We start from the raw sequence: 12,767 nt of genomic DNA, 5'->3' as shown, positions 1-12,767 counted from the left end.
GGTTTCACCATGTTGGCCAAGCTGGTCTCGAACTCCTGACCTCAGGTGACCCGCCCACCTTAGCCTCCCAAAGTGCTGGGATTACAGGCATGAGCCACTGCGCCCGGCCCAAAAGTGAGTTAATTTAAAGAAAAAAACGTTGCTGACAGTCCTGACAGCACACAGAATATGGCAAACCCTGGAAAATGGGGTTTGATTAAGAGAAGACTAGGAAAGCCCCACTAGAACGCAGGCTCCTCAAGGGCATGGCTGCATCTCCCAGTGCCTTCCACCCAGGGCCTGCCTGGCCTGTGCCACTGGGCTGGAATTGTATGGATTTTGGATATCCCAGGAAGCAGGGGTCCAAGCTGCCCTTGTTAGCTACAGGCTTTTTTGGTCTTCAAAATATACAACTTCACTTTGCCCACAGTGGCTCCCAAACGTCCCAGCAGTGATGCAGGGTAGTATAGACACCTAAAAATGGGTACAACACAAGCTCCATTGTATGGTAGTTCCACCCTAAGTAAGAATCCATGAGGCTCCGATGTAACTCAGCAATGTGAGCTGAGGGGACGGGTGGAGGTATTTCTTCATCTGCATTCCTTTTCACTTTTGCTTCAGATTAGAAGCTCTGGTTCGTGAAGGTCTGTAATTCACTTAACTAGAGGTCAATGAATGATAAATTTTTTTGAACAGCTACAAAACCCTCTACTTTCCAAGGAAAGTGATACATGAGGGTGAATAATTTAGATAAATTTAGCTTGAAAAAATTTTTAAATATTGTAACATTTTATACTACAAAAAAGTATATATAAGGTATCCATATATTCTAAATAATCATAGGAATAAAAACATAAATACACATCCACCTGTTACCCCACTACCCAACCCTGAAAGCCTGCTGTGTGCCCCTAAACAATTGTATCCTTCTCTCCCAATGCCCACTGGGTTGGTCTATGTTTGTGTGGCTATAAATACCTGAGGCTGGGTAATCTGCAAAGAAAAAAGGTTTAATTGGCTCATGGTTCTGCAGGCTGTATAGGAAGCATGGTGCTGGCATCTGCTTCTGGTGAGGCCTCTGGAAGCTTACAGTCATGGTGAAAGATGAAGGGGGAGCCAGCATCACATGGCAAGAGTGGGAGCAAGAAAGCTGGGAGGTGCCACACTCTTTTAAACAATCAGATCTTTTTTTTGAGACAGAATCTCACTCTGTCACCCAGGCTGGAGTGCAGTGGTGCAATCTTGGCTTGCCGCAACCTCCACTTCCTGGGTTCAAGTGATTCTCCTGCCTCAGCCTCCTGAGTAGCTGGGATTACACGTGCATGCCACCACACCCAGCAAAATTTTGTATTTTTAGCAGAGATGGAGTTTTGTCATGTTGGCCAGGCTGGTCTTGAGCTCCTGACCTCAGGTGATCCACCCACCTCAGCCTCCCAAAGTGCTGGGGTTACAGGCATGAGCCACTGCGCCTGGCCTAAACAACCAGATCTCATGTAAACTAATTGAAGAAGAACTCACTCATCACCAGATAGATGGTGTTAATTCATTCATAAGGGATCCACCCGCATGCTCCAATACCTCCCACTAGATCCCACCTCCAAAATTGGGGATCACATTTCAACATGAGACTTGGAGGGGACAAATGTTTAAACCATATCATTCTGCCCCTGGCTTCCCAAATCTGATGTCCTTCTCACATTGCAAAATACAATCATCTTCTCCCAGTAGTCTCCCGAAGTCTGAATTGATTCCAGCATCAAGTACAAAGTCGTGTCTCATCTAAGACTCAAATCTGTCCACCTATGAGACTCTAAAGTCAAAACAAGTTAGTTACTTCCAAGGTACAATGATGGTACAGATATTGGGCAAACATTACCATTCCAAAAGGGAGAAATTGGCCAAAAGAAAGGGTATAGGGGCCCCACACAAATCTGAAACCTAGCAGGGTAGTCATTAAATCTTAAAGGTCCAAAATACAATCTCCTTTGACTCCAAGTCCTACATTTAGGGCACACTGTTATAACAGTGGACTCCTAAGGCCTTGAGCAGCTCTGGCCCTGTGGCTTTGCAGGATGCAGCCCACATGGCTGCTCTCATGGGTTTAAGTTGAGTGCTTGTTGCTTTTCCAGTTAAAGGGTGCAAGCTGCCAGTGAATCTGCTATTCTGGGTTCTAGAGGGTGGCAGCCCCCTTTCCGCAGCTCCACTAGGTAGTGCCCTGGTGGGGACTCTGTGTAGGAGCTCCAACCCCACATTTCCCCTGGCATTTTCCTAGTAGAGTTTTTCTGTGGGGCCTCTGCCTCTGCAGTAGGCTTCTGCCTGAGCACCCAGGCTTTCCCATACATCCTCTGGAATCTAGGTGGAAGCCACCAAGCCTTCTTCACACTTGCGTTCTGAGCATCTGCAGACTTAACCCCATGTGGCAATCACCAAGGCTTATGGCTTGTGTCCTCCAGAACTGTGGCCAGAGCTGTACCTGGGCCCCTTTGAGCTGAGGCTGAAGCCAGAGTCTGAAGCTCAGCAGGGCAGTAGGGCCCTGGGCCTGGCCCCTGAAACCATTCTTTTCTCCTAAGCCTCTGGGCCTTTGATGGGAGGGGCTGTCCTCAAGATTTTTGAAATGCCTTTGGAGGGTTTTTGCCTTGTCTTGGATATTGGCTTCCTTTTAGTTATGCTCATCTCTCTAGCAAGTGAATGTTTCACAACCTGCTTGGATTCTTTCTCTACCACAGAGCCAGGCTGCAAATTTTACAAACTTTTACACTCTGTTTCCCTTTTAAATATAAATTTCAATGTTAAGTCACTTCTTTGCTCCCATATCTGATTTAGGTTGCTGGAAGTAGCCAAGTCACCTCTTGAATGCTTTGCTGCTTAGAAATTTCCTCTACTAGGTAGCCTGGGTCATCACTCTTAAGTTCAAACTTCCACAGATCCCTAGAGCATACAGTGCAACCAAGTTCTTTGTTAGGGCATAATAAGAATGACCCCATTCCATTTCCCAAAAACTTTCTCATTTCCATCTGAGACCTCATCAGCCAGAACTTCACTGTCCATATCTGTATCAGTATTTTGGTCACAACCATTTAACCAGTCTCTAAGAAGTTCCAAACTTTCCCTCATCTTCCTGTCTTTTTCTGAGTCCTTTAAACTCTTCCAGCCTCTCCCTTACCCCGTTCCAAAGTCACTTCCACATTTTCAGTTATCTTTATAGCAATGCTCCACTTCTCAGTACCAATTTTCAATTTTCTGTGTTAGTCCGTTTTGCATCACTATAAAGAAATACCCAAGGCTGGGTAATTTATAAAGAAAAAAAGTGGGGACCGGGCACGGTGGCTCACGCCAGTAATCCCAGCACTTTGGGAGGCCGAGACGGGCGGATCACGAGGTCAGGAGATCGAGACCACCCTGGCTAACACAGTGAAAGCCCGTCTCTACTAAAAATACAAAAAATTAGCTGGGTGTGGTGACGGGCGCCTGTAGTCCCAGCTACTCAGGAGGCTAAGGCAGGAGAATGGCATGAACCCGGGAGGCGGAGCTTGCAGTGAGCCGAGATCACGCCACTGCACTCCAGCCTGAGTGATAGAGTGAGACTCCGTCTCAAAAAAAAGAAAGAAAAAAGAAAAAAGGGTTGATTGACTTATGGTTCTGCAGGGTATACAGAAAGCATGGTGCTGGCATCTGCTTCGGGTGAGGCCTCAGGAAGGTTACAATCATGGCGGAAGGAGGAGCCAGCATATGACATGGCAAGAGAGAGAGAAAAGGACAGAAGGGAGAGGTCCCAGAGTCCTTTAAACAACCAGATCTTGGGTGCGTTAACTGAGTGAAAACTCACTCACCATCAAAGGGACAGCACTAAGCCACTCATGAGGGATCTGCCCCCATAATCCAATACCTCCTACTAGGCCCCACCTCTAACACTGTGGATCACATTTCAGCGTGAGATTTGGAGGAGACAAACATCCAAATTATATCACCTACCACAAAAGGAACTATTGTCTTAAAATTTTGTTAGTCATTCCCTTACTTTACTTTTTGATTGGCCTCCTAGGTCTAAGTGTATGCATAGACATATATGCATAGGTATATATACAATTTGCATATAGTCAATTTCTGCCTGTTTGGGAACTGTAAGTAAATATAATCATACATAAGCATTCTTCCAAGACTTGCTCTAGGGTCAACATGATATTTCTGAGTGTTATCCATGTTGATGCCAAGAGATGTTGATAATTCATTTTCACAGCTGTATAGTATCCTATTGCATGAATGTATGACAGTCTATCATTTCTATCAGTTGGCAGTGCTAAGTCATTGACAAAAATGATGGTTCAGAGTTAGGATTTCAAGAAGGCACAATTGCCACCAAATTTATCCCTGTTTCATGCACAAACTACTTGAGCAGAGAAGTGAAAATTTTGCCTCAAGTTAGAAGCAGGTTTTAGCTAGGGGACATCAAAGGAGGGAAGGGGTCTTAAATGGGAGAGGAAGAAAGGGCTAAAGTGACTCCCCAAGATTAAAAAATAAAAACAAAAAGAAAAAAAAGAATCTTCCTGGACAGACAATTTGTGACTGGGCTAGCCCATGCTGATTGTGGGCAAATTAAGGCTTTCACTCTCACTGTCACTTCCCCTCCAGATAAGCCCTTGGGGAAAAGTTCTATATGAATACTTAATTTACAAAAGTATTGTTCCCCAGACCAGCAGATTGGGTTCCATGAAGGTCCATCACTTTGCTTGATCCTGAAGAGAACCAAATTTCATATAGTGCTCATCTATAAGCTTCCTATTGATGTATTTTTTATATTCACCTTTTTCTATAGCATATGCGACTATGCAGCTACCACACAGTTATCAAATAGTAGTGTCCATGAACCTTTAGTAACCTTTGACTAGTTTCCATGACTCTGAAATTCCCCACCCACAGCTTCACTTGTAAAGAGTGGAAATATTTAGAGGAAGTGAGACTATCAGCAGCTCAGCCTCACCATGGGAAGCATTTTCTCCTCAAAGCACAGTAGTATGCTGGTGCCTTCTGTCACACTATCAGGACATGGCTTTAGCAAGTACAGTGTCCTCTCAGCACCTGTTCCTCATGCAGGTGCTTTGCATCATATAATCGTCGAAACATTAAGGAAGTAATGCTCTTTGTCACTCCACCGGAGTGGAGAAGTTAAAGTCAAGAGTGTACTTCAGGGGTTGTATCACTGGTTTGGCTTTAGTAGTTGTGAGGTCTTGATGGGTGAGAGTGATCCCTGGCAAATGACATATATTGATTGATTCATTGAGTGAGCAAAGGAGTAAGGTGGGTGTATTAGGGTTCTCCAGACAAACAGAACCAATGGAATGTGTGTGTGTATATATATACATATATATATAGAGAGAGAGAGAGAGAGAGAGATTTATTTTATGAAGTTGGTTCACACAATTATGGAGACTGGCAAGTCCAAAATCAGCAAGGCAGGCTGGCAAGCTGGAGATCAGGGAAGAACTGACATTGCTACTTGAGTCCGAAGGCACTCTGCTAGCTGAATTCCTTCTTGCTCTGTGGATGTCGCTCTTTTTTCTATTAAGGCCTTCAACTGATTGGAGGCCCACCTACATTATGGAAGGTCATTTGTTTTGCTCAAAGCCTACTCATTTAAATGTTAATCTTTTAAAGAAGATAGCTTTGCAGTGACATCCAGAAGAATGTTTGATCAATATCTAGGTACCTTGGCTTAGCCAAGTTAACACGTAAAATTAACCATCTCAGATACTGTATCCATTTCAGAAAATAATTTAGTAGATATTAATATTTATTGAACATCTGTTAAGGACTCTGTATGGGCCAGGCACCATATTAGGTGCTGGGGATTCAGCAGGAAAGCCAGCCAGACAAAATCCCTATTTTCAAGAAGCTTACATATGGAAGGGTGGAGGTTTGAGTAATTAAAACACTCGCAGTAGTTTTCATGCCTTCAAGAAGCACTGCAGATACAACTCAAGTCAATCAAATCCATTCTCCCATATACATATGGTATTGGGGTATAGTGAAAAGAGGAACAGAGGTTCTGACTTCCTGGACTTTGTCTTCTACTGAGGACCTCAGGTCTAAATTATATGATGACCATAGACACATTTTAACAATTATATACAACATGTTATTCATTATGTAGCTTTCAAAAGCACATATAATTCAGTTATAAAGGATGATGAAAATTAACAAATTGCATACAATTGTATTAAAAATAAAGTGACAAAGGTATTTTGTACATGATTATTTCATTTTCTTCATGAGTTTTTTTTTTTTAATTTTTATGGCAAAACAGTTCAAGGAACCACTTAACGAAGGTGTTTGATTTCAAAAGAATTGATTTGGGAAGACAGAACTGCTTGATGATGTCTGTTTCTTTGTTAGCTTTAAGTAACTGGTTTACTCAATTGGCCTCTTCCTTCATTGTGTTTTGGAGTTTTTTTGACTGAAGCAAAGACAAGCATTAAAAATAAAGACATTGGTTTATGTTGTTTAGAACTGAGAATCCATTTAAAAAAAATGAATTGGAGTATCTATGCCAGATTGCTCTTACATGATATATGTGGCCATGGGCAGAGGAGGGTTGCATTCTTAATTTATGCCCTGAAAGAATATCAGGCTTATTTCTCAAAAGGAAAAATACAAATGGCAAGCAGGTATATGAATAGGTGCTCAACATCACTGATCCTCAGAGAAATGCAAATCAAAACTACAATGAGATATCATTTCACCACAGTTAAAATGGCTTATATGCAAAAGTCAGGCAATAACAAATTCTACTGAGGATGTGAAGAAAAGGGAACCCTCATATACTGTTAGTGGGAATGTAAATTAGTATAACCACTGTGGAGAACAGTTTGGAGGTTCCTCAAAAAACTAAAAATAGAGCTGTCATATGATCCAGCAATCCCACTCACATATACCCAAAAGAAAGGAAATCAATATATTAAAGACATATCTGCAGTCCTGTGTTTATTGCAGCACTCTTCACAAGTGCCAAGATTTGGAAGAAACCTAAGTGTCCATCAACAAATAAATGGATAAAGGAAATGTGGTACATATACACAATGGAGTACTATTCACCCATAAAAAAGAATGAGATCCAGTCATTTGCAGCAACATGGATGGAACTAGTGGTCATTATGTTAAGTGAAATAAACCAGGCACAGAAAGACAAATTTCACATGTTCTCACTTACTTGTGGGAGCTAAAAATTAAAATAATTGAACTCATAAAGACAGACAATAGAGGGATGGTTACCAGGGGCTGGGAAGGGTAGCGTTGTGGGTGGGGGGGATTATGGGGGGCAGGTAGGGGAGATAGATAATGAGTACAAGTCATAGAAAGAATGAGTAAGACCTAGTATTTGCTAGCACAACAGGATGACCGTAGTCGAAAATAATTTAATTGTACATTAAAAAATAACTAAAATATTGTAATTGGATTGTTTGTAACACAGAGGATAAATGCTTGAGGTGATGGAGACCCCATGTACCCTGATGTGATTATTACACATTGCATGCCTGTATCAAAACATCTCATATAACCCATAAATATATACACCTACTATGTATCCACTGAATTTTTTTAAAAAGAAAAAAAACAGCCTTTAATTAGAATATTTGCATGTCACAGGCTAGGGCTAATAATCCAATTAAAGTTTTAGGTAAGGGCTGGAGGACACAGGGATGTGTAGCACACGTTGATGTACCTCAAAGAGGGGAATTCTTCTAAGAAAGCGTCATCACGATTTCTCACCTGTTATCTACAACCTTCAACCCATTGCTCTAAAAAATCTTACATTTGAGTTGAAGAAAGAACAAATACGTTTGTAAAACAAAAATCACATTTAAAAAATAGCTAAATATGTTGCTAAGTGAAAGAAGCCAATCTGAAAAAGCTGTATATTGTATGATTCTAACTAGAACGTTCTGGAAAAGATAAAACTAGGGTACCAGTAAAAAGATCAGGGGTTCCCAGGGACTGCAAGGAGGGAGGGATGAATAGGTGAGGCATGGAAGATTTGAGGGCAGTGAAAGTCCTCTGCGTGATACGATAGTGGTAGAAGCGTGTCACTGTGCATTTGCCCAATCCCATAGAATGTACACCACCAGGTGCGAACCCTACTGTCAACTATAGACTTGGGGTCATAATGATGTGTCAATGCAGGTTTATTGATTGTAGCAAATGTGCCAGTCTGTGGAGGGAGGTCGACAGTGGGAGAGCCTGTGTGCATGTGGGAGCAGGAGGTATATGGGAAATCTCTGTACCTTTTTCTCAATTTTGCTGTGAACCCAAAAGTGCTCTAAAAAATAGTCTTTTTTTAAAAGGAGCTAAGTGGCCTCTTTGATGTTCCCCCAGAAGGCCAAGAAAGTGCCCAACACCGGACGTTTGCACTGACAGTCCCTCTGCCTGGAAGGACCTTCTGGGAGATCCCTGCCAGGCTCCGTCCCCTTCCTCATTCAGCTCTGGGCCACAAGTCACCCAATCCGCCAGCCCTCCCTCACATGCCATGCAAAATGGCCACGGGGTCACCTCTGTCACCCTCCCCGTTGTCACCTGTCCTCAACACCACCCGACGCCGTGCAGACTGACGTACTGGCTTATGGTCTGTTTCTGCCTCTGAACCGTTGGCTCCGTGGGTGGGTGAAGGACGTTATTTTGTCCCCTGCTGTGTTCTTGGCACATGGGAGGTGCTGGAGGGACATCTGCTGAAGGAACGAGTGAGTGAGCCAGTGAGTGGATCATCCAGTGAGCGTGAGGGACGGGTGCTACCAGGCAGGGAAAGAAGCTCTCTGTAAGCAGGGAAGCCTGCTCAGAAGTGAAGCTGGTATGGCCCTTGCAAAACGGGAAGGACACAGAAAAGCATGAGGAGATTGTGAGGGGAAGAAAAGGCGGCTTGAGGAGAGCCTTGTGCACCTAGTGGGTCGGTGAGGGAACCATTTGGACTGGAATGCAGGTCTTGGGAGGACAGGGGTGGGAGCCGTCCTCCAGCCGTGTGTGCGTGCTGTAGGCAAAGGCAGACTTTTCCTCAGGAAAGCAAATTTGGATCCGCTCCAGCATTTGAATAACAGCCTGATTGAAAAACAAAGCTCTACTCTACATAGCAGAGCAAAGAATGGTTTTGGTCAGAGCATTTTTCAAAGACAATGTTCCTCACTTCTTGCTTCAGCATAGGAAAACGTCAGCAGAGCTTCGGTGCAGCGTTTTACTCTAAGCAGGCCTGTGATTCAGGGGCTGGCCTCCTTGGGTTCCCACAAGCATGATTTAGCAGAGAGATGTGTCTATTTCATCATTAAACGAAATGTTCCTTAGGGAAAAGACTCTTTATATACCTCAGTTGACATCCCTAATGATATTCCCTGAATACCCAGTTAGAGAAGTGTTAGCCTCTTCTATGTCATACTTTCTATCTGCTGAGTAATTTCTTTCTTAATTGCACAGAAGAGCCACTTGGCCCAACACTCCCTATTTGAGTTCGACCTAGCAGAGATTTCTTTCTTTTGAGGCTATGTGAAATGCAGTTGAGCATGATATTGAAAACATGAACACAATCCAAAAGTCCATCAGTAGGGTCCTTATTACAATTTGGCAATCCACACTTTGGAATACTGTGCTACTGGTGAAAAAGAAGAAAGAGGATATACACAAAGATATGAAAAGATGTGAATCAAATACAAAGCAACAAATGCAAAAGAACATACAGTACAAGCCCATTTTTATCTATCTCATTGTAGAATAAAAGTCTAGCAAAATATAGACTCCCAAATATTTTTAAATGTTTTGGGATTGGGTTTATAAGACAGGTTCACTTTCTGCAGTAGACATTGTCTGTCTTTAGATATTTAAAAATGAGTTTACGTTGCTTTGTGATTGAAAACTGGCTCAAATTTTAAAAACTCTGTGTGTGTACACGTGCACAATCACTCATGCATGCCAGGTTGTGTAGTACACAGGAGCAATGGTTGGAGAAATGGGGAGTTCCTAATAAAATTTAACAGTAGGAATGTGTTTTTAAGATTATTTTACTTAAAAATAATAATTCTTCTCCCCTCGTCAGGCTTATCTTTTGACCATTTTTGTTTTGGCTTGTTTTCTTGTTTTGTTAATTTGTTAATAAATAATTGATAAAAATAAATGGCAAAGCAAAAAAAAAGTTCTAAGCAATGTAAGAAAGTCATGGCATACTCTCTAAGGAGATTCTTTCTCTGCAGCATGGGAACATTCACAAAGCAACTATCAAGCAACATAAGTTGGGGAAATGATCATCAGGGTTCAGGAAATGGACAGATTCAAGAAGGTTGGAGTGCTTAAGAGAGAACCAACTGCCTGAGTTCAAATCCAACCTGTACCACCCACCTGCCATGTGCTATTGAGCAAATTACTTTACTTTTCTGTTTCTCTGTTTCTCATCTGCACAAAGGAGGTAATAAGAGCCCTACCTCACCGGTGGTTTTGAAGGTTTTATGAGTCAATGGATGATTTTGAATGTTACATGAGTCAACACACACACAGCACCTAAAGTGGTATCTGACACATTAAGTGCTCAATACATATTAGCTAGTGGGAGGAAGAGGAGGAGAGGGAATGAGTTTTCATAAAAGAGAAGGGATGTAAAGAATGAGTAGGGTTTGACAGAAAAAAGAATTCCAGAAGATCAAGAAAAAAACAAAACCCAAAGGCTTATAGGATACATGAAATGATCCAGTTAAATTCACCCCAACCTCTGTAAAGAAAGCCGAAATGATATTTCATGACTAGATGATAAACATAAGCAGATATGTACAAGCACTCAAATGAAATAGAAGGAGGGTTTTTTAAAGTTAGCTTTCCTTTATTATTCTGTAGACCCTTCTGTGTGTCAGTCATCAGTCAACAAATTCGTATGGAGCTACGTGGTGGTGTAGCTCCCACCAGCATGGAACTTTTTCCAAGTGGGTTTAAAGTTGGAAAACCATGGCGATCATTTGTTTTATTGTGTGTTGATTAGTAGCGTATCCAAGAGTTGTGGTAGTTACTTCGGTGTGACTCATTCAGGAATAGAAGAAAGATTCATTGTATTACTCTTAAAATATAAACAATTCTTAATTTTTCTGTGCTAATGAAGAACCACAGGAATAAATATAGTTGATAGATTAAATTATGTTTATTTTATTTTATCTGTAAATTAAGCAAATCTTCATTGTTTTGCCTTTTTGAAACTTTTCTCCATCTGTTTGGGTTTCTGGGTACCCCCCAGCCCTGGTGTCTTCTTCCCAGCTTGCAAACAGCCATCAGGGCCCAAGGGCAAGGGGAGAAGCCACTGAGGGCCAGACTGCGCACAGTAGCTTCCAAGCAGGCCCTGGGTAATTGAGTTGCTTGACCTTGGCAAGCACAGAACCAGCCTCATCCACGAAAACACGAAAAACACATGTGACTAGGTGCTGAGACTGATGCTTTTGATCACCAGCCCTGACCACACTGAAGAGCCCTTTTAAGAACCAAGGTCCAGTCTCATACAATCCCGAGAGTTCAGACAAAAAGGCCAAAATTCCATAGCTCTGCCGGACTTATTTGCAAGGGGTGCTGTGTAGAAGGTGCCGAAATGGCTAGTAGCTAGGTTTAAGCAATTACAGTCACTAGTTGGTTCAAAGGGATGCCATTCACTCCTGGAATCCTGCTGTCAATGATTGAGCTAGGGAGTTTGGTCTCCAGGGAAGAGTTAAACATTAGACAGGAACCATTACAAAACTTTCCACTAAAAATAAGTTCCTTGTAAGAGAAGTTGAGAGACTTGCTAATTGCAGCTTACTCTAAACCTAATGACAGTCTGTATCATTTGCAAAGAAAGCACAGGATGTGTGAATGATGGTGAGGGAAGTGGGGAGTCTTGGCAGATAGATCTGACTCTGATAGATGCAGTTGGTCCTCTAGACTAGTGATCCATTTTGGAGTAAACTGCATTGGGAGACTGATCAAATTTCCTTTCTCCAGGATTCTTACCAACAGTAAAGACTGATAAAACACATTTGTGCTGCTGTGTTTTTCAAAAGCTCGGCCATATAATAACTTTAACAGACTCCCTAAATTTCAAACATTTCCTTGATGTAGGATGATCACAATAGAAAGGAATGTTATTCTCATCCAGCCATCGGTAAGCTTTTGTCTTCCTTAATCCCAGAAACTAAATCACTGGCTACCTCAGAGGCTCTGACCTAAATCTTAATTGATGCCCACTGCACTTTCAGACCACTGTGTGTGATTTTAACCAGACAAACCAAGGAGGAAGGATTAATGAAGAAAGCCTAATATTTTGACCAATCATAGAGTCCACTGCAGTGCCCTTTCCATTTTAATTGAGCTTTATACGGTTCTCCTCTCGAGGTAACCCTCCTTTCTTAATGTTCAGTACAGCAAAAACTAATCTAGGTTTTCTTTTTAATGTTTGATTTATCTCTTCAATCTTGGTGCTAGGTAACAACATTGGATCAAAATATTAACAGCCAAGATTTAGATATTATTTTACAATTAACACAGCACATTGACTCATATTATTTCACTTTCACAGTGGTCCTGGGGCATGTTTATTGTATCTCCCACTCTACAGATAGTGAAACTGAGGAGATCACGGTGGGAAAGATGACGTAACTCACATGAAGTTGGGCAACTGATCAGATGACACAGCTAGGACTGAAGCCTGGGTCCCCTAAGTCATTTGCTTAGAGCTCATTCAATGACGAGGCAACTCCTTGCTGTGCATCCTTTCAGCACACGTTGTTGGTGTGAAGACGCTGGTTTTCATC

At 42.1% G+C, this 12,767-nt stretch overlaps 1 protein-coding gene across 2 annotated transcripts in view, besides 2 other annotated features; it reads left to right on the top strand.

The window, feature by feature from the left end:
• NEDD9 (neural precursor cell expressed, developmentally down-regulated 9) overlaps window positions 1–12,767 on the top strand; it is a 199,051-nt gene that overhangs the window by 2,934 nt on the left and 183,350 nt on the right. The window lies entirely within an intron of this gene.
• Window positions 8,180–8,679: an enhancer, noted in NCBI's record as "H3K4me1 hESC enhancer chr6:11370969-11371468 (GRCh37/hg19 assembly coordinates)". NCBI's record gives its function as "activates a minimal SCP1, AML or CMV promoter by ChIP-STARR-seq in naive H9 embryonic stem cells {active_cell/tissue: H9 hESC(naive)}" and the evidence as "EXISTENCE:reporter gene assay evidence [ECO:0000049][PMID:30033119]".
• Window positions 8,680–9,181: an enhancer, noted in NCBI's record as "H3K4me1 hESC enhancer chr6:11370467-11370968 (GRCh37/hg19 assembly coordinates)". NCBI's record gives its function as "activates a minimal SCP1, AML or CMV promoter by ChIP-STARR-seq in primed H9 embryonic stem cells {active_cell/tissue: H9 hESC(primed)}" and the evidence as "EXISTENCE:reporter gene assay evidence [ECO:0000049][PMID:30033119]".

Source organism: Homo sapiens, chromosome 6 (assembly GCF_000001405.40).
Source record: "Homo sapiens chromosome 6, GRCh38.p14 Primary Assembly".
NCBI lineage: Eukaryota > Metazoa > Chordata > Mammalia > Primates > Hominidae > Homo > Homo sapiens.
The sequence above is the reverse complement of the archived record's forward strand: the minus strand, read 5'-3'. Positions and strand labels throughout refer to the sequence as shown.